We start from the raw sequence: 21,847 nt of genomic DNA, 5'->3' as shown, positions 1-21,847 counted from the left end.
GCCGGGGAGAAGGCCCAGGAAGTGACGGCCGCCTCCCGGCTACCGGGGACTTCTGGAGTCCGAGAAGTCAACGGCGCGGTTGCTGCGGCCGCCGCGCTCCCCGGCCCGAGGCGATGGAGAACGGAGCGGTGTACAGCCCCACTACGGAGGAGGACCCGGGCCCCGCCAGAGGCCCCCGGAGCGGCCTCGCTGCCTACTTTTTCATGGGCCGGCTCCCATTGCTCCGGCGCGTTCTCAAGGGCTTGCAGCTGGTGAGTCCGCGGTCAGGGAGGGCGAGCCCGGGCTGGGGAGCGGGGTCTGGCCCGGGCTTGGGAGGCCGCCGAGCTCCTTCGTTTCAGCTTGGTTGTTCAGTAAAAGGAGGTTTCCACACCTCTAGTTCCTTCCCTCTCAGCCTGGGGAAGGGGGCGTTACCCTCCGCCCTTCCGCCGGGCGGCCCCTCAGTCCCAAGGCTCTCCCCATCGGGATCCCACGAACTGGGGCCACCCAGCCTGTTAGGCGGGCTCAGGAAATGCGTCGGAGACCCAAGTCAGCCACTTCAACATCTTTCACTCATCCTCTATGGCGACTTTCCTCTCTTCTCTCTGCTGCTACCCTGCATTATCGCCCACAGTGCCTGTATTTAGACTGTGAAGCGCTGTTTATCTTTCTCTGGCTCTTGCGGTTTTCCTGCTGCGAGCCCATGGGGGCAGTTTAACTTGCTGGACAAAGTCCTGCGATACCACGCGTGGCATTGAGATGTGTGTGTATGTGTGTCCGGTAAATTGTCTTCTAAAAGTTTTATATTGACTGGAAAAGAATTATTTCAAAATTGAGCAATATGGGTTCTAAGTGGAAAGTCAAAAGGACAGCTTTTTGTAAGTATGTGCGGATAGCTGAACTAGGACATGGTATGCATCTTTCCATTTTATTGAGTTTATTTTAAGCAGTTGAAGTACCATAAACCTGTTCGTGAAAACATCAAAGCATCTTTGAGATTTAAATTATTCACTTTACAGTCGTGTTGGCTCCTATGTACTGTTCCAACCACTGATGGTTGAACCAGTTTAGGAAAAATAGAAACAGTTTAGGTTCTATTTCTGCAATAGAACCAGTTTAGGAAAAATCCGAATGCTTATGATGTTTATGAGTTTTGTCTTACTTTGTTTTGTTTTTTAACCATTCTAAGTAAAAATTAGCTCATTGGTTTCCTTGGAAAGAACTTAAATTCTTACAACTCAAATGACCCGAAGTTAAATTCTTAGAACTCTAGTGACCTACTTTTATTGAATAGAAAAACAGAAGTCGGAAAATCGGCACTGCTGTTTAGCGATCAAAATGATCACATCTGCTGATGACTGGGAAATCATTTGAAAGCAAGTGATAATGTGGCCTATGGAACCCAGTAGGATCTGGCCTTATCTTTCTCCCAGTCTCCCTCTAGGTGGTTCCACACTGGCCACCTTTAATTTATTACGAGGCATCAGGGGCTCTTTCCTGCCACTGTTCCTTTGCATAAGCTGTTCCTTCTACCTTCTTCCTTCTTCCTTCTCTTCTCTTGTCAGCTGTCACATGATGATTTTTAGGTATTAGCTGTATTTCTCTGCAGTAAAGCTAAAATTTTCTACGTGAATAGTAGAACTCTTTAGAACAGAAAAGAATATTCATCTGAAGCTTTTTTTTTTTTTTTTTTTGAGACCGAGTCTTGCTCTATCGCCAAGGCTGGGGGCAGTGGCGCAATCTCGGCTCACTGAAACCTCCGCCTCCCGGGTTCAGGCAATTCTCGTGCCGAGTAGTTGGGACTACAGGCACGCACCTCCATGCCCGGCTGATTTTTTTTTTTTTTTTTGGTAGAGACGGGGTTTCGCCGTGTTGACCAGCCTGGTCTCAAACTCCTGACTTCAGGTGATTTTCGCCCTCCGGGCCTCCCAAAGTGCTGGGATTACAGGCGTAAGCCACTGCGCCCAGCCCATCTGAAGCATTCTTGCTGCTCGAAAAAAATCATCTGTATTGGTTTGCTGCCCACAAAATCTCCTGTTTTCAGTTGCCTTTATTATTTTCTTTCTAATAAAAAGTGGCAAAGCTAAAGTAAATTTTCTGATTACCTTCTTATAGTTTAGTAAACTGTAGTTTCGTATCTTTGGAATAGAACATAACCAGTTTCCTTCCTTATTGCTGTTATAGAAGAAAACATGGAACACAACCAGAAATTTTTGTGGTAAATGTTATACTTGGACACAGAGAAGATGAATTTGCCTTAAAAGATCGTTAGACTATTATTAGTTCTCCATCATTCATAAGAAGAAATGGAGAAAAAATAAAAACTAATATCTCTTTATGAAATCCATTTATTTGTTTATGGGGAAATTGTCATGTTACAGGAATGCTTTCTTTAATGTGGAGATTTAAAAGTACTTTTTCATTACTGCCTTTCACTTTGATGGTTGTCTTTTTGTTCCTTTGTTTGTTTTGATAATGTCTTATCTCTTCACAGTAACAGTATATTACAGGAATTATCCAGCAAGTCCCAAGAAGGTTACATATGAAGTCGGTAAAAGTTGTCTTCCAGCCTGGGGCTATAGGCAAGGTCTTTGCCTTAACTCAAATTCTTCCTTTAGATAGATTGGTTGTTTTACTTTAAATGTTTAATTTTTTTAAAAAACTAAACAGAATTGCGAGCTCCAGTAAGGAAACAACTGTAATGGAGAAACCCGTAATCAGAAGAGGAGGTGTTTTAACAAGGGACCTGCAAACCCTGTGAAATTTTATTCAAAATATTGTACACTTATATGTTTGAGTATATTATTCTGGACCCATAAATCTTAACAGAATCTCAAAGATCCTACAAGAGAAAAGCCTGCTCTAAAACTTAAAAACCAGACATTGTGTATATACTTAGGAAATTCTTACATTAGAGTCTTCGGAGGTTGAATTGAATTACCTCTGAGGTTCTTTGCACTCTTAAGGTTTTTTTTTTTTTTTCAAACCTCTGAGGCTCCATGGGGTTTGCTATTACAGAACTGAATTGAATATTGAAGGGATAGAGAGTGGAGCCTGTACACAGAGGAGATTAGAGATAAAAGAACGTAACTTCTCTATCTCTTGAAGTTAACATAGCTGTGTCTGCCATTTAGATATGACCTAAGTTTTGTTAAAACCCTAAGCATCCCCCAACTACCATCCACCCTTCCAGAGCTTAAGAAGAAATACTCAGTTGAGAATTTAGTGTAAGGAGTTACTGGAGTCCTAACTTTATGCAGTTTTTCAGTTTATACTATCCTTAGATTTGTCCACATGTTCATGTTTTATTTTGTGAATGTTTTTGAGGGAGTTTTTGTTTTAAGGGGAGAATTGACGTTTGGTAACCTAATTGCTTGCTGATACGCTGGTGCAGTGACCTAAATATGTGGAATTTTCTGTGCAACAAGCTCCACATTGTATCCATGCTGTCAGTTGACTATCCTGATAGCTGCACAGTACTGGAATTCTAGTCGCTCATCTGGCAAGCAGTTTTAGAAATCGCCAGTGATTTTTCAATATATTACATTATAAATAATGTTACCCTATAAGTACCAAGAAACAGATTACTTGGAAGCATTTCTTATATTGATGCTCTTTTCATTATTTAAATATGAAAACTGATGTATAGTAAATTGAAATGTTCTATTTTTACCTTGAGGAAGATCCCGTAATGTCAGCAAATTATATCTGAACCTTTGTAAGAGTAAATATTTGCCTAAGGCAAGGGAGGCCTGGCCTGTTTCTTCAGACCAATGGATTTTTAAATTTGAACTTTACTTATAACTACAAAGTTTTTAATAGTAAAGTTCATTAATTTATAATTCATATCATTTTGTAGATGGAGCTTTATAATTAATGGCAAACATTTAAAAGTTCTTTTTATAAAATATAAGTAGTAGACTGTTAAATTAATGGAGAATTCGTATTTAATATAGTGACCGTTTTAAGGAACACTTGAAATTTCAGAAAAGGTAGTGAAACTGAGGCCGGGTGCGGTGGCTCATGCCTGTAATCCCAGCACTTTGGGAGGCCGAGGTGAGCGGATCACAAGGTCAGGAGATAGAGACCATCCTGGCCAACATGGTGAAACCCCGTCTCTACTAAAAATACAAAAATTAGCTGGGTATTGTGGCGTGCACCTGTAATCCCAGCTACTCAGGAGGCTGAGGCAGGAGGTGGAGATTGCAGTGAGCCAAGATCGTGCCACTGCACTCCAGCCTGGCAACAGAGCGAGACTCCATCTCAGAAAAAAAAAAAAAAAAAAGAAGGGGTAGTGAAACTGAAATGGAGAGATAGAGGCAGGATAGTAATTATCCAGTGTTTAAATCACCAGAACTGTAAGATCATGTTTTAGTCACTGAGACTTCCCAAATCTGTTGATGTTAGCAAATTGTTTTTAATGTATGATTTAATACATTAAAGGAAATATACAGAACTGTGGGTTTAACTTCAAAAAGCCAGTCTTACAGGGAAGACCTACACAAACATACATACTCGTAAAAGGAATTTAACAAACAGTATTTCATGGGGAGAGAGGAAGTACAGAGTGGGAGTCAGAGACTTGGGTTCTTGTCTGTGCCGAGCTAACTTGGGGCTTAACCTGTCAGTAGCTTAATTCCATCTTTGTAAACGTGGGAGTGGGAGACTATATCCGCTAAGGGCCCTCCTGACATTAAAAGCTTGATAATTCTCTTAATTATATTTGGGTAAAATTTTATGTCATTAGAAGGAGTTACATTGGGTATACAGTTGTTAAGTACTTAGCTTAATATTCAGTAAGCAATATTTAGTATGATGACTTCATGCTATTAAGAACAAAACTGTTTACCAAAAAATAATAATTGAGCCTTTTTACTTATGGGTTATGTTTACCATGAATTTCTTAGCTAATTCAGTGACATTTTTTCTCTCTTCCTATTTTTGACCACTTTGGCATTTAATGCTGGTGACCACTCATTTCTCGAAATTGTTCCTTCAGCTTTTACACTTTTTTTTTTTTTTTTTGAGACGAAGCCTCGCTCTGTCACCCAAGCTGGAGTGCAGTGGTGCAGTCTCGGCTCATTGCAACCTCTGCCTCCCAGGTTCAAGCAATTCTCCTGCCTCAGCCTCCTGAGTAGCTGGGACTACAGGCGTGCACCACCATGCCCGGCTAATTTTTGTATTTTTGATAGAGACGGGGTTTCATTATGTTGGCCAGGCTGGTCTCAAATTCCTGACCTCGTGATCCACCCGCCTTGGCCTCCCAAAGTGCTGGGATTACAGGCGTGAGCCACCGCGCCCGGCCAACTTTTACACTTTTTTCTTTTTAATACAAGAAAGTGTCTGCTTACCAAAAAAAAAAAAATCAACTAAAAATATTAAAATAAAACCACTTTCCCACCCCTCACACTACCAGGTGTCACGGTATGAGTAACAGTTTGGAGTATGTTTACTTGCTGCTTTTTAAGGAGTTTTTTCTTTCTTTTTTTTTTTTTTTTTTGAGACAGAGTCTCGCTGTTGCCCAGGCTGGAGTGCAGTGGTGCGATCTCGGCTCACTGAAAGCTCTGCCTCCTGGGTTTACGCCATTCTCCTGCCTCAGCCTCCCGAGTAGCTGGGACTACAGGCGCCCGCCACCACGCCCGGCTAATTTTTTTTGTATTTTTAGTAGAGACGGGGTTTCACCATGTTAGCCAGGATGGTCTTGATCTCCTGACCTCGTGATCCGCCCACCTCGGCCTCCCAGAGTGCTGGGATTACAGGCGTGAGCCACCGCGCCCGGTGTAGGAGTTTTCTTTTTTTAAAAACACTTCCTGTGGCTTGCTGATAAGAAGTTAGTTGCTCTTTTCCCTCCTACACTCGGAACTGTAGAATTCCTTTAGGCCCCACCCAATCCTCTGTTCCTCCTGTTTTCTAACCTACTAAACCAGACAGGTGTTCCCTCCTGCCTTCATCTAAACATCCATATTCCCTTGCATGATCATCACACAACCACACCCAACTCCTAAACCATTTTTTTCTTCATCCCCATCCAGTTAGGTCAGTTGCCTTATTATCATTTTTGGATTTACTATGCAAATTCTTGCCCTTATGAATATGTTCTTTTTCATCCTCCACCTAGAATTAGAATGTCCTCTGTCTATCCAGGTTCTGTTTGTGTCTCTGCCTGGTTTGAGTCCTGCTTTTCCACTCATCCTTCTCCGGCTCCTTCGAACATTTTCTTGAGATTTTCTAACCTACATATAATGAATGCTCAGTTAATGTGGTATAAAATATATTGTTATTATTGTTTCTTGTACATTGAGCTTATTACTCCATCATTTGTATCTTCCTATACGTAGAACAGTGTTGGAGTGTTGCTAGTTCAAGTACACTTTGAGCTAGCAATTGCATAATGCTGTGGGAGCTTACAAAGGTTAGTAGCCTCAGAGATGGGTAGGCAGAGAATTTTTTTTCTTTTTTTTTTGGTAGAGATGGGGTTTCACCATGTTGCCCAGGCTGGTCTCAAACTCCTGAGTCCAAGCAATCCTCCCGCCTTGGCTTCCTAAAGTGCTGGGATTACAGATGTGAGCCATCGCATCTGGCCGACAGAATTTCATATTGACTATAGCTTGTAGTGCCAATTTGTTGGCCTTTAACTTGAGATGGGAGCTAGTAAATGTCCACACTTTTTTTTTTTTTTTTTTTGAGATAGTCTCGCTTTGTCACCCAGGCTGGAGTGTAGTAGCGCCATCTTGGCTCACTGGAACCTCTGCCTCCTGGGTTCAAGCAATTCTCATGCTTCAGCCACCCAAGTAGCTGGGATTACAGGCATGCGCCACCATGCCCAGCTAATTTTTCTATTTTTAGTAGAGATGGGGTTTTGCCATGTTGGCCAGGCTGGTCTTGAACCAGGTTGGCCAGAAGGCCTCAAGTGATCTGCCCGCCTTGGCCTCCCAGAGTGCTGGGATTACAGGTGTGAGCCACTGTGCCCTGCCAGATGTCCATACTTAATATTGTACTCCTTGATTCTCTTAAGATGTCCAGGCAGAACCTGCTTCCTGCTATTGCTCTGAGGCAATAGGTCAGTAAGGTCAGTAGGAATGCCACCTGTTAATACGTTTGGAATAGGACTTGTAATGACTTGAGACTGACTGCTTCTGGACAAGCTGGATCCTGTCTTTTTTTACTGAAAGTAGACAAGCAGCCTATGTCTGTCCTACAGATAACCTTTTATTGCCATATAGCCTTCACACATGAGTGTGCCTAATAGTCTAATTGTAAAATGAGTGGTTCAGCTATTCCCAGACCCTAATTAGAGTTTTAGGCTGGTATCTTCTCTCAGTTAATTGACTTTTATACAACCGAGGTATATTTTGTAAATTTCTCAGAGAGAAACTTTTAAAACTTGGACAAGATTTAACATAGAGGCAAGAAAAAGGCAAGTGAAATGTTAGATATTTAGTATTTTATTAGACTATAGTCATGTTAGAACTCATCCTGTAAGTATGATTATAGGAGACTAAGGAAGTATCTTTACACAGTGGCCCTCTGGGATTTATCTTGGTGTTGTCACTTTATATCCTGTGGTGTAATGATTGGGAATGCCTTACCTAACACCTGTCTGAAGGAAGTTGTTTGGGACATGCTGGGCTATTTCATGCTTCACTAACTTACAGGAAATCAGAGAATGTAACCATTCATGTTACAATTAGACTATTTTTTTTCTTTTATATAAATTCTTTGCAGTTGTGGGGATGTATACATTTTGTATAGCCAGTAGAAGGGAGAGGAAATCCCTTAAAGGTTTGGATACCAGTATAGATTTGAATTACTATTTTTTAACTTTTTATTTTGAAATTATTATAGATTCACAGGAATTGCAAAAAAAAAAAGTACAGGGAGGTCCCACATTTGTATGTGCATGTGTGTGTAATTCTATGTAATTTTACCATGTGGATAGCTTTCTATAATTACCACCACAATCAAGACACAGAACTGTGCCATCAGCAGAGGCTTCCCTGTGCTACCCCTTTGTAGCCACACCTTTCCCCTTTCTCTTGGCTGCCACTAATTTGTTAGCCATCATTATTATTTTTATTATTCTAAGAATGGGCTATGAATGGAATCATGCAATATGTAACCTTTTGAGATTGGATTTTTTTTTTCCTTTGAATAATTCTCTGGAGATTCATCTAGGACATTACATATATCAAGTTTGCTCCTTTTTATTGCTAATATTCCATGGTATGGATGTACCACAGTTTGTTTTAACCATTGGACATCTGGAATGTTTCTAGTTTGGGGCTACTATGAATAAAATTGTTATAAACATTCACGTACCGGTTTTTGTACAAATGTTAAGTTTTCATTTCTCTGAGATAGTTGCCCAAGAGTTCTATTTCTGGGTCATATGGTAGATATATGCTTAGTTTTTAAAGAAACCGCTGAACTGTTGTTTGTCCCTTTTTAATGAAAATGTTTTGTAGGATAAGATATTTACTATTACTATGAAATGTATCTGTTGATTTTGGTAGCAATCTTGTTGCCATTAACCTGTCTGGTTGCTTCTACTGGCCTGACTGGAGTGAGAAGGGAATTCCCTTTAGCCTCTGACTTAGGTCATCAGTCATTTTGATGGTTTCGGCCCTCAGCAGGAAATTCCCTCAGCTTCCACAAAACCCACACAAACTGCCCAAGCAAAATACTCTTCTTCACTCTCTTCCCTTCTATTTCTAGAGAAGAGTTAGCCCCAAACCTGAGCCCTGAATCCTATCTTTAGAGAGCCATTTTTCTACCTATGTCTTTAGACCCACCCATCTTACTGGTTTCTGCCTAAGTATTTAAACATGCTCAGTTCTCCCATGTTGAAATTCCCTTCTCTTTGACCTCATCCACTACTGCCCTATCTGGCCATTCTTTCCCAGCCACACTTATTGCCTATGCTGTCTCTCCTTCACTGCCTTACCCTCCCCTTACTTCCCAATATACAGTATTGTAATCGAGCTTCTCTCCCTGACTACCCTGGAACTTTTCTTGCTAATGTCACTGGCAACCTTCTTATAGCTCAGTCTAAGGTAGGTGTTTCAGTGTTGTTCTTACTTGACCTTTAAGTAGCATTTAGCACTCTTGATTACTTGTGTGTTTGTGCATGTGTGTGTAAATACTTTTTTCTTGTTTACTACCCCTTTGATTGCTGCTGCTAGTTGTCCTTTGCTGGTTTCTTCCCCTCTGCATATCCCGTAAATCTTCAGATTCCTCAGATTTCCACATAAGGCTATCTTTCCTCATTTGAGTCATCTCACCCTCCCACTCTGCCAGCTCCCACATCTTTATCTGCATCTTAGACCTCTCCTTTGAGCTCCAGACCTTATATTCATTTGCTTTCCAACTACATCTTCACCAAACTCTTCCACAGACCTCCTCAATCACAGCATATTTAAAACTGAATTTCTTCTCTCCCTAGCACCCTTGCCTTTTAAAAAGAAAAAAACCTGACTCTTTTTTCAGTGAGGACCAGTATGTTAGTACCACATATACAGCAGTTGGAAGTAGTTAAAACCCACTTGCGTGTAATTGAGTTGCCAATTTAACCAGAGTTAACATTCTCCACTCACCATACCAAGCATCCTGACCTCACACCAGTCACCCACAGCCTGCCATGGCCAGTAGGCATCTCATTAGCACTCTAGAACTCTTGCTTCTGTCATCAGTTGAGTTGTGTTGTTCCCATACTGGTTTATGCTAACTATACTTTTATGGCCATACAGTTAAATATTACAAAGCTGAAACTGAGTGTTAAAATGAATTGTTTCTTTAAAACTAAATTGAATGCTTTGGAAAGACTGAAAGATAACTTACTACAAGATTTATCTGCCATGGAATTAAGGAAGAGCAAGGCAACTGTAAAAGGCTGGTAAAATAGTCTGACTCTAGAAAGATTCTGAACTCTGTTTCTCAAGTGTTTAAGATCTCACTTCACTTCAGATAACATCAGTCTGGAAGTAGTAGTCCATAGATGATGAAAGTGATTAATGCAGAAAACATGTGGAATTCGTCAGTAGACCCATAAAGAAAATACTCACTTCAGCAGATTGTTAATAAATGTGCGTTTTTAAGTTAAAATGTTTAAGGTACACATGTGTTATCTTGTGTTCCATATTATTTGTATGCATCTTGTCTGATATGAGCTTTTGCATCTTGTCTGATAAGAGCTTCTGCTGCATCTCTCAGTGATTGCCACTCTTCTCTATTGCTGCTCCCTAGTCGCTATTATTTGCCCTGATTTCCTACATCAGCTTCCCAGTTGGATGTCCGCCCCAAGGTTTGCCTTACCTCTGGTCCCTTCTCCATATTGTAGCCAGTGAGAACTACTGAAAGCATACACCTGATCATTGTCAACCTTTACTTTAAAATCCAGACTCTTAATTAACGAGGACATTTAGATCTGGCCTCAGCTTACCTCTCTAGCCTCATATACTAATTTTTGTGCTGCCATTCTCTTCCCTTAAACTCTATACTTAAGCCATGTTGATTTGACTCACTTTGACAGTTAAGTTGGAGGTCGGGGTGTGTGTTGTCTGTATGTTGGGTCAGAGGGCAGGTGCCATGCTCCCTCATTTCTGGCCTTTCTATATACTGCTTCTCTGCTGGGAATTTCTTTCCTTAATCTTTCATCCCCCAAACTGACTCTGTTCTTCAGGTCTCAGCTTTCTCCTTCAGGAAGCCTTTCCTGACCCCGCAGTTGAGCGTCTCTCCTGTGTGCTTTTATAACAATATTATATATTTCCCCTTTGCTGGCATTAGTACACGATAGGTTAATTAATTCTTTATTTACCTGTATTTCCTTCAAGGCGGCCAAACTGTAAGTTCTGTGTAGATAAGGTTTATTCATTAATCTTGTTTGCCATAGTCTCCTCATTGTAAATATTTGAGTAAACGTATTATTCAGAAACAGCTTTCTAAATACTGTAGATTCTCTGAAAAAACACTTAAGTAAAATGTTTTGCTTCATTTGTAGTTGCTGTCTCTGCTGGCCTTCATCTGTGAAGAAGTTGTATCACAATGTACTTTATGTGGAGGACTTTATTTTTTTGAGTTTGTAAGCTGCAGTGCCTTTCTTCTGAGTCTCCTTATACTGATTGTGTATTGCACTCCATTTTATGAGAGAGTTGATACCACAAAAGTAAAATCATCGGTAAGCATGAGAAAATATCATCCCTGTATTAATAGCTGTTTTGTAATCTGGCATAATTTTATTGTTCAAAGCAGTAATGTTTTCAAAACTCAGCAACATGAAAAGACAGTATCCCTTGTTCCAACTCGCTCTGCTTCTAAGCACCTCATTTTTTCCTACCAAGGGGATGGTAGAGAGGGAAAGTGAGATTAGAATGAGAGTGACAGACACTGCCAATAGTTTACAGTTATTGGTGGTTTAATGTAATTCACATTAGACTTAAAAAAGCCTAGGATTTTGTCACTTCTGATTTCTCACTTTTGAGTGTCACTCATTGGTTCTACAATTATTAATTGTGTGCCTTTATTATATGCCAGGCATTTATATGCTAGACATTGGAGATAGAGTAATGAACTAATGTGAAATATTTCTGGAGCTTTAAAATAAAACAACATTTAAAGCTTAAAGCTTCAGTGATTGGGGAAAATAAAACAACATGTAATTCTTCCTATATTTTGCTTTAATGGTATTATGAAAAGTTGTCTATAAGTGAATTAAGAATGCATTTGTTCCTGTGTTAGTTTGCTAGGAGCAGAATCCTGTTAGAACCAATGCCCTACCATCTTGAGGTGCTGTCATGGCTAATGCCATCACTATAGGAATTTCTATGACAATGACAACAGGACTCATTTGTTTTATGAAATATATATTAAGAGGATACAGATAATCCTTAGAATTTTTGTTAATTATATTTGTAGTCTTTGGACATTTTTCTTTTTTACAGATTAATATGCCATAAGATTTGGACTAGGGAAAAGTTCTCAAGTGTCTGAGCTGGTTGATTTATAGTTTGAATGTGTAAAAAAAAATGTATATATTCCAAATTCTGGCTGGAAAAATTTATATTAAAAAAATTACAGATTGAAATCATTTTGTCATTTCTTAACAGTGAAACAATATCACCATAAAAATATTTTTAGAAATGTTTAGTTTTTATTTTAATGCTGCATCTGTAGTGTTTAAAGCACACTGATCATTTTGACAAGAAATGGTATTATAATATTGTCCAGTGTAGTATAATGGTGTAACGTAAAAAAAGTAAAACCTTTATTATATCAAACTTGAGCATTTAAAAAGTCATTTTAGAGTAAATACTGGTTTAAAAATACTGAGAAAAAAGAAAAATTAGTCCATCCTAAAATAGCTTTTGTATTATTTTGCTGTATTCCTTTCAAGTCTTTTTATTCCATTCATAGTTTTAAAATTTAAAATATTTGTAATCATAGAACATATATTCTACTTTTTACCTAATATAAGGATTTCATGTTTGTTTGCAGGGTTTCAAAATCACTTTTTACTGTCTGCATATTAATACACTTAGGTTTTAAATATTTTTTCATGCAAGAGAGGTTTTCTGTTTTAGAGGAATGTGTTTTGAGTGTGTGGTACTGGTGGTGCCTAAAGAAGAATAACTTTTTTTTTTTTTTTGAGAAGTCTTGCTGTGTTACCCAGGCTGGAGTGCAGTGGCGCAATAGCAGCTCACTGCATCTTCCACCTCCCGGGTTCAAACGATTCTCCTGCTTCAGCCTCCCGAATAGCTGGGATTACAGGCGTGTGCCACCACACCCAGCAAATTTTTGTACTTTTAGTAGAGATGGGGTTTCGCCATATTGGCCAGGCTGGTCTCAAACTCCTGACCTCAGGTGATCCGCCCACCTCGGCCTCCCAAAGGAATAATATTTTTTAAGAGAGAATGTCTTCTATCCCATGCTATTGCAGTCGGAGTCTATTAAGAACAACAGTAGCCAACATTTTTGGGACGTTTACATTTATTAGTGGTATAGCTCAGATTTGAACTCAGGTAGACTGGCTCTAGAACCCGTTTATTGAACACTACATTATGGTCTAAAAATGATTGTCTTGTTTCAATTAACTTGAATGTATTCCAAATATTAGTAAATAGAATTTTATATTTATATGTAATAAATTTGAAATAATCAAAAGGATTAAAAAATAAAGTACTACAGGGAAACACCTTTTAGAAGCAGAGAAAACCTCTTTTTTTTTTTTTCTTTTTTGAGACAGAGTTTCGTTCTTGTCACCCAGGCTGGAGTGCAATGGCACGATCTCGGCTCACTGCAACCTTGTGCTTCCTGGGTTTAAGTGATTCTCCTGCCTCAGCCTCCCAAGTAGCTGGGATTACAGGTGCCTGCCACCACACCCAGCTAATTTTTGTATTTTTAATAGAGATAGGGTTTCACCATGTTGGCCATGGTGTTCTTGAACTCCTGACCTCAGGTGATCCACCTGTCTTGGCCTCCCAAAGTGCTGGGATTACAGGTGTGAACCACCGTGCCCGGCAAGAAAACCTCTTACATTTTATATAAATGTTAAGTGAATGATTGACAATTTAGGAATTCTGTGTTAAATAGTTTTATTGATTTTTTTTTTTTTTTTTTTTGAGATGGAGTCTCGCTCTGTCGCCCAGGCTGGAATGCAGTGGTGTGACCTTGGCTCACTGCAACCTCTGCCTCCTGGGTTCAAGTGATTCTCTTGCCTCAGCCTCCAGAATAGCTGGGACTACAGGCACCCACCACCACGCCCAGCTAATTTTTTTTGTATTTTTAGTAGAGACAGGGTTTCACCATGTTGGTCAGGCTGGTCTCGAACTCCTGACCTCGTGATCTGCCCGTCTCGGCCTCCCAAAGTGCTGAGATTACAGGCGTGAGCCACCGTGCCTGGCCAGTTTTATTGATATTAGGTTTAGTGGAGTTTGCAGTTCAGAAAACTCAAAAAGTATCAGACTTAAAACCCTTTGGAGTGGCTATCATTTTACCAAGTTTCCCTTTCTGAATCAAGTATATATGTCATTACTGTTTTCAGTTGGCATATGAGAGCCTTGTGAGGTAATGCCTGAGAGAGCACTTGGAAACCCATGAAACATCTCATGATTGTAAGCTGCATTATGATAAGATATGGAAGCTTTTATGTAGTAGATAAACTCATCATATAAGCTCACTGTAGATTACCCACTTGGAACAGTTGAAGGCAATGTGTTATTCCAGAAAGCTTCAGTGTCTAAAAAACACACTATTGGCATACTTCTATTTAATAACGGGTGGTTTTTAAAATTCTTTCTTTTAGAAAGTGCTTTCAAAGCATTGGAGTGCTCTCAGAGATGTCATCCTACCATAAAATACTTTGAAAGGAAAGAAAAATGCTTTTTTGCTGGAAGTAAGATGGAATTGTAATAAATGCTTTGGCTTAGATAATTTTAATATGTCCCAGAGAAAAAGAGGACACACACAAACACTTGCACGAGATACACACGAGATCTTTTCCGGGACTGTTTTTTTTTTTTTTTCTTTTTTTGGACTGGATAATAAAAAATGTCCCAGTTAGCTGGGACTACAGGCTCATGCCACCTCTCCTGGCATAGGGGATTGTTGTTATTAAAAGTTTATCTTGTAATGTGTTCTCTCAATAATCCCAGCCCAGTGTGGATACTGTTTTTTTACAGGGTATTTATTGAATGCCAGGCTTATTGAAAAGTTAGAAGTTTGGGTATGTAAGTTTGGGTTGTATCAAGAAAAACAAGTAAGTAGCCAGAGCTTTTTAAAGTTAAAAATGAAAAAGTTCATTTCCATGAATCTAACTGTATTGTATTCCTTTTGTGTTTTGTATGTATGCATAGGATTTTTATATTACTTTGGGAACAGGATGTGTGTTTTTGTTGGCATCCATCATTTTTGTTTCCACACATGACAGGACTTCAGCTGAGATTGCTGCAATTGTAAGTACCTTGTATTTTTAACATTGCTTATTTTTGTTTCCTTAGAAATATGGAATTTGGAGAGTACTTGACAAGTTATACAGCATGTTAGAGTTGTTTTTCTTATAACTTACTTTTTAGTGTAATTTTGAATAGAAGACCTACAAGCAAATCAATATGATAGCCTTTAAAACCTAGAGCCTATAGAATTTGACTGAATTTTGTTTAAAAAAAATCCACTTACTCCACATACCGTGTGTTATTGCTAATGGAAGTGGTAAAATTGACTTTATTATTTTATATTTCTCCACTTTCAGTTCAATAAATGCACACCTACATGCCAGGTGTTTTCTAGGTATGGAGAATATATGGGAGAAATGATTCAGAGACTCAGTCTAGAAAAGGAGACGGAAAAGTAAAATTGTAATGGAGTTTGTTAAATGAACCAATAGCAGTTGTTCTGAGACTGGGTGCCGTGGCTCAGGCTTGTAATCCCAGCACTTTGGGAGGCCAAGGTGAGAGAATCACTTGAAGCCAGGAGTTCAAGACCAGCCTGGGCAAGCAACATAGTGAGACCTCATCTCTATAAGAAGAAAAAAAAAAATAATAGAAAAAAAAGTTGGTCTAGACAGCAGTTTTCAGTGGGTTATACATATCCTTAAAGTTTCATCAGACTTTTCAAGGAGTATGAGGCAGAGATAGTGTTGAGGAAATTAATTTCCAGCTTTTAAACCTCCATATGTAATCTTTTTTAAAACTTGTATGTCTGAGAATTTATCTCTGGTGAAGGAGTCTCACCGGCACTTTTCCACCTTCCCATTCACAGTCGCCACCTACCTTGCCCCTCAAAAAGAAAAAAAACTTGCTTGTCCTGAATCTTGCTGGATTAGTTCCTTCTTGCCCTGCTATATAGAAATACCTGACACTGGGTAACTTATAAAGAAAAGAGGTTTAATTGCCTCATGGTTCTGACAGCTCTATAGGAAGCATAGCAAGGGAGGCCTCAGGAAATTTACAGTCATGGCAGAAGGCGAGGCGGAAGCAGGCACATCTTACATGGCCAGAGCAGGAGGAATAGAGAGAGTGGGGAGGTGCTACACACTTTTAAACAAGCAGATCTTGCAGTAACTCACTATTACAAGAACAGCGCCAGAGGGGGAGTCTGCCCCATGATCCTGTCACTTCCAGCTAGGCTCCACCCCCAACATTGGGGATTATAATTTGACATGAGAATTGGGTGGGGACACAAACCCAAGCCATATCACTTATTATGGTGGATTACCCTGAATTGTAAAACAAAAAAACCCTTGAGTACAACAAAGAGACAGTTGAAAATAAAGATCCAATTTTTCTCTGAAATTCTTGGGGCCAGAATTTTTTTCTTTTGGATTCAGAATATTCTGGATTTTAGAAAGGTAGTGCTGTACATATGCTATATTACACAACACCACTTGAGGGCCTGCGACAGTACCCTGTAATCTAACATTGGTATATCTGAAGTAAAACATATGAATATTTATAGTAAAAGGGATAAGAAAAGACTAAGTAGTCTTACTCCATGTAAATAGGCTTACTTTGTGTCAATTTTGAGCCAAGTGAATCATGAAAACCTTGAGTTAATGTAGTTCTTTGGGTTTCGGAATTGTAAATTAAGGATCATGGCCTTGGACTGGTAGCAGTGCTGTGAACTTGAATGACTAGCAACTGGACAACAAATCATCTTGCAAGTCAGCTGGTTTCCAATTAATACTTTGTTTTTAACAAAATTGAAGTTAGGCCGGGCGTGGTGGGTGGTGGGTCAACGCCTGTAATCCCAGCACTTTGGGAGGCCAAGGCGGGCGGATCAGGAGGTCAGAAGTTTGAGACCAGCTTGGCCAATATAGTGAAAGCTTGTCTCTACTAAAAATACAAAACTTAGCCGGGCATGGTGGCAGGCGCCTGTAGTCCCAGCTACTCGAGAGGCTGAGGCAGGAAAATCGCTTGAACCGAGGAGGCGGAGGTTGCAGTGAGCCAAGATTGTGCCACTGCACTCCAGTGTAAGTGACAGAGTGAGACTCCATCTCAAAAACCAAAAACAAAATTGAAGTTGTAATTAATAGAGTTGTCAGCTAATACATCATTAAAACTGCATTTTATGATAGAAAACTCAAAAGGAGTTCAGAGAATTGCATGGCTATATTTATCTATTCATATGACAACAGTTTCTTAGCACTTACATGTGTAAAAACAAAACATAGAAATAAAATTAACACTGAATCTTGATTCATTCTAGCAATAAGCAATATTTATTCATGGGTACATGAACCAATAGAAGAGAAAAATCAAAGTTTTAATAGGGCTTTATGGTTAATTTCAGTTTAGAAACATTTTTGTTGCAGAGGAGTATGAGATGGTGATCAATAAAATAATGAGTTTTTTAACTCATTTTTAATTTTAAAAAGCTCTGGCTACTTATTTGTATAAAAATACATTACTATAAAATTCTGTGGGGAAAGTGAAATGAAGTTGAGGAAAAATTGAGTTCCAGGGAAAAAATTTACAGCTATAAAAAAAATTTTTATATTTTAATTAGACTGTCCCAGTATTTATATTTCATTGGATATATTTAATAGTGACAGGTAGTTTAAAAAGCTGATATTTATAATATGCTGGAAATTACCTTTTGTAACTATTTAAATTATGAAAAGTTTTATAGACTTAAATGCATGAGGAAGTTCTTTTTTTTTTTTTAATTCAGAAGTGTGTGAACAAAAGAGCTAGAAGATGACTTGTGGTGATCAGAGACAGCTTCAAAAACAAGGGTGACATTTGGTCTGAGTTTGATGTATTTAAGAAAGTTGCCAGGAAAATAAGGGGATAAATGCCATCAAGTCAAAAATAAAGATTCCAGAGGGAAAAAGACTTGGCTTTTGTGGCGGGGGATGGGAGGGTGGGAGGCGTTGATAATTAAATTTAGATTGGATATGTTGGGGATATCTGGGGGACTTAATGAATTTGGAGCTCAGTTTACTTTGTGGTAAAATGAGGTGGAATGCTTATTCTTTAGAGGGGGGAGGAGAGGTCAGGAGACTGCAACAGACTGTAAGAGAATGTTATTAATAAAAATCGTGGAGATAGGGAGTTTAGATTTGGAAGAGACTTTAGCCATCACCTACATCAATTTTCTCTTTTTTACAGAGAACTTATCTGGCCCCCATATCCTTAAGGGTTTTGCTAGTGGAGAAGCTAAATTTGAAGCAGACGCATGGTCTTCTGTCTCTTGATAGAATTCTCAGAACGTATGATCGTATTTTAGAAGAGAACAGTTGAGGAAGTGATTTAAGGAAGAGGAAGTAGGTAGTGGCGTCATGTCACTGTGTCATTGCAGTGTGACAACTGGAACATTATTTAAGTAATTTAACCTAATAGTATCTTCAAAATGGAATTTCTGTTTTGATATTAATAACTTTTTTCATTTTCACCTAGGCTGAGTTGCCTAGTCACGTATTTTCCTTATCGCATCTGTGGGTCAATCTAACCATGCAAATATTTTTGTTTTGTATCATTTTATAGGATTTAATGTTTATCTGTTAACCCTACTTTCATATATTAGCCCTCCACATATAAACATGCACACATAAGGCAGAACATTAATATTTTGTGAGACTTTGACTAATAGCCATTATTCTGGAAGTTTTTCTTTTATAACTTCTTTCCATTTTTTGATGACTTAAAAAAATTTTTTTTACCATTAAAGAGTAGTCGTGTATAAGATAAAATTCATGAACATCTTGTTTATATGAAACATTCTCCAAGCCAAGTAGGAAATGTAAGATTATATTCCAAAATTCTCATATAACCTTTCCTCCTTTTTTTCCTCAGGTGTTTGGATTTATAGCAAGTTTTATGTTCCTACTTGACTTTATCACTATGCTGTATGAAAAACGACAGGAGTCCCAGCTGAGAAAACCTGAAAATACCACTAGGGCTGAAGCCCTCACTGAGCCACTTAATGCCTAAAGACTCTGGGGAGCAGATGTTACCTAAGGTAGTGACCCTGCATTGTGGTGCCTGAGCCCTGGCAGAAGCTCTTGTAAAATTTGTTAATTGTTTAAACCACTTCTTTTGGAGAGCAAGGGGAAGGTCAAGAAGGCAGTTTTATCAATATTGTGTCAGTCACCACAAAGTAGGCCAGATAAGTTAAAAAAAATTTTTTTTTAAATAATAATTGAAACTTATCTCAAATGGAGATTTTGGTGGGAGGAGGAGAAAACAATTGTTTTTAAATCACACAGCTCAACGGTTGATAAATGATTCTGTCATTCTGTTACAGGTCATTCTTTTACTAGGCTTAGCTTCCAAATTATGCTTTATAGCTGTATAAACATCGTGATTATATTCATCTACTTAGAAATTGTTTTATTTTTAAATTAATTTGCTTAGCTGTTTGTTTTGATGCTTAGATTATGTTCTGTTAATGGGAATTTAACATATTTAAGAAACCAATATTTAAAATGTTGGTCTAGGTTTTTTTCCTTAACATATATTACCAGGCTTTACTGTATTTCACTCAGCCTTAAATGTTATAATATTTTTGGATAACGGTTATTAATTCTTTGAGACCTTCGTATAGCCTATAAAATGTATGGGAGATGTTGGTATTTTATGTGTATAAAAGCAACAATATCAGCAACTTCGTGTTTATACTGCACCTTGGTTGTTGATGTCAAGTAAAAAAAAGATTGTTTTGTAACACATAAAAAAATGGAAGAAACTGATACCACACCTAAGGACCAAAGATAAGAAAGACTTTTTGCCCAAGACAGTGAAAGTAATTATAAAAACAAGCTTTGACCACTTACCAAGTATCTGAAGAGATGAGTTCATACTATGATTTAGAAAGTGGTTCAATTCCCCTGTTGGCATATGATTATTTTTACTAAAATTAATACAGCTCTGTGGGTCTTCCTTAGTGTTTTCTTTGAAGCCAATCTGTTTTTTTTAGGACACCAGCCTTTGGTTTTTCATCTGTTCGAGATGCCTCTTCTCTGTCTCCTTATCAGATAGAAATGGAGTCATGTGCTGCTGCTTCATCTAGCAGAGGTTGGCCTCTGGCTCTGACACTTTTTGTCAGTTGTCTTTAGGTGGTCCTGAATCTTGGGCCCTTTTGATTGTGAATACTGTGTAGCAGGATCTTGAGAGTCCTTGTTCTTACATAGGCATTGCTCTAGTTTGTCTTTGGCAAAAAAAAAAAAAAAAAAAAGTAAATATCCAGGGAACCCTGCCCAGACTAATACTGTTGGTGGCATAAGAGAATCAAGCCATTCTCAAGAGATAACTTCATAACCAGAATTGTCTGTTGGCTAGCAGCTGTCACAGATAGGCAGGGCACTTGGGATATGACCTTTCTGTCCAGGTGATTCACAGACTAGACCTTTCTTATCCTCCTCCTAGAGTTTTGACTTGGGACTCTAGTGTTAAGATGATGAGCCCGTGCATCAGGTCCTTCTGCACTTTGGTGGAAGTCTCCCAGGGTAGGTTTCCTATTTGAAACAGTGGAATCATGTTTCCAGTGATAAAGTTTAATGACCTCATCCTTTTTTTTTTTTCTCATCTGCCATTTGTGTGTCTTAGATGGGTTTTAATTGCATGAATGTGGCTAATGTGGTTCTCAGAAATTGGTCAGTATGGCCCAACATAGCTTCTGCTCTGTCTTACTGACTCAATACCTTTAGGATTTGTATCAGAGTTTGGATACTAGTGTTAGTGGTGGTGTCACCACTACTTAATTGGGAGATAATGAAACCAATCATGGATGCTGTTTTTATTGGGCATGTCATCTAAGAGAGGAGAAATAGCTGGGTTTTGGGTCTAATTATGAATAAGGACTGATTCAGAAAACGAGTTTATGGTAGGTAGACTAAAGTTTCACATCAGACTGTACCATTGTGATTTAGACCTATCTAAAATTCAGAGCATATCATCTGGGCTACCTCAGGGTCACCACCCATGTATTGGGCTTAGTCAGGATTGACAGATACATTCTCAGCTGGCCTGTCATATAAAACATACTGTCATTGAGCTTAAGCTCCGCTTGTTCTGAGGTTTCACCTCCATGTGTTTCATTGGTGCAAAAGTGGATCTCTTAGTTGGTCACTTAATTCTTTCTTTTTCAGAAAGATAGTATGTTCACTGGTATATTTGGTCACTCTTAGAACCTTCCTTCACATTGTTTTTTATGGGACCCATGAATGGTTAGCCTTTCTTTTCTATTGTAGAAGGAAATAAATAGGAGTAAAAAGACCATTGTAGTAAATAAGTTCAAGGGGAACTTGGGACCAGAAACCACTGTTATGTACAAAAAAATGGCAAATTCAATAAACTCAAATTTAAAATAATTTTTAAATTAACAGTTATGATAAATTTTATATTTTATACAAATAGATTGCTTAGAATGGTTCTCAAGAATTATAAGAGAAATGAACTCACAGTACAAAAATTTTATAATTACTATACTTGTGTTTTGTTTGGGGGCTGGGAAATGTATTTTTACATTGTAGCCAATCATTTTATATTTGTCAATTTAAATCTTATGGGTCTTTTTTTTTTATCTCTCTTGATGTCAGATTTTATAGTCTTTTTAAATAAATCCATTTAATTAAAACGTTCTTACCTTTGTAAGTGTTTATTACAGAAGTGTGATGTTTAAATGAAAAGCTGTCTCTGTAGTTGTGGGAGTTGGCTGCACAATCTTGTTGAGTGCCTATATAGAATACTAGATTTTAGATATATCTAGGATAGAAAAGAAACAAATCCATTTCCCATCCATAAACTGTCCCTCTTGTTGGAAAGTTAGAATACACATTTAAACAACATTTTTAGGGAACCACAGAGGAAGACTTACAAATGGCTTTAAATACTTCCAAAGAAGCAATTTAGACTCCTTGTCACATTTCTAGATGTGGCTA

General features: G+C 38.5%; 1 protein-coding gene across 1 annotated transcript, besides 1 other annotated feature; it reads left to right on the top strand.

Annotated features, from left to right (window-relative positions):
• Positions 7-21,547, top strand: CMTM6 (CKLF like MARVEL transmembrane domain containing 6). The gene is made up of 4 exons (NM_017801.3): positions 7-251; positions 10,973-11,149; positions 14,823-14,921; positions 18,762-21,547. Exons 1-4 carry the CDS (start codon positions 114-116, stop codon positions 18,897-18,899), a joined length of 552 nt encoding a protein of 183 aa, NP_060271.1. The 5' UTR covers positions 7-113; the 3' UTR covers positions 18,900-21,547.
• Positions 67-296: a silencer, noted in NCBI's record as "silent region_14173". NCBI's record gives its function as "represses an Ori minimal core promoter by ATAC-STARR-seq in GM12878 lymphoblastoid cells {active_cell/tissue: GM12878}" and the evidence as "EXISTENCE:reporter gene assay evidence [ECO:0000049][PMID:35858748]".
• Positions 21,548-21,847: the final 300 nt, after the last annotated feature.

The sequence above is a fragment of the Homo sapiens genome, chromosome 3 (genome assembly GCF_000001405.40).
Source record: "Homo sapiens chromosome 3, GRCh38.p14 Primary Assembly".
NCBI lineage: Eukaryota > Metazoa > Chordata > Mammalia > Primates > Hominidae > Homo > Homo sapiens.
Note: the sequence above shows the minus strand (reverse complement) of the source record. Positions and strands in the feature narration are given on the sequence as shown.

What these genes read in the sequence shown, in the direction of transcription:
- CMTM6 (NM_017801.3), top strand. Translation starts at nt 114, where the DNA reads ATGGAGAACGGAGCGGTGTACAGCCCCACTACGGAGGAGGACCCGGGC. An exon ending in CCACAAAAGTAAAATCATCG is followed by an intron (nt 11,150 to 14,822) that starts GTAAGCATGAGA and finishes ATGTATGCATAG; the next exon opens with GATTTTTATATTACTTTGGG. An exon ending in CAGCTGAGATTGCTGCAATT is followed by an intron (nt 14,922 to 18,761) that starts GTAAGTACCTTG and finishes TTTTTTCCTCAG; the next exon opens with GTGTTTGGATTTATAGCAAG.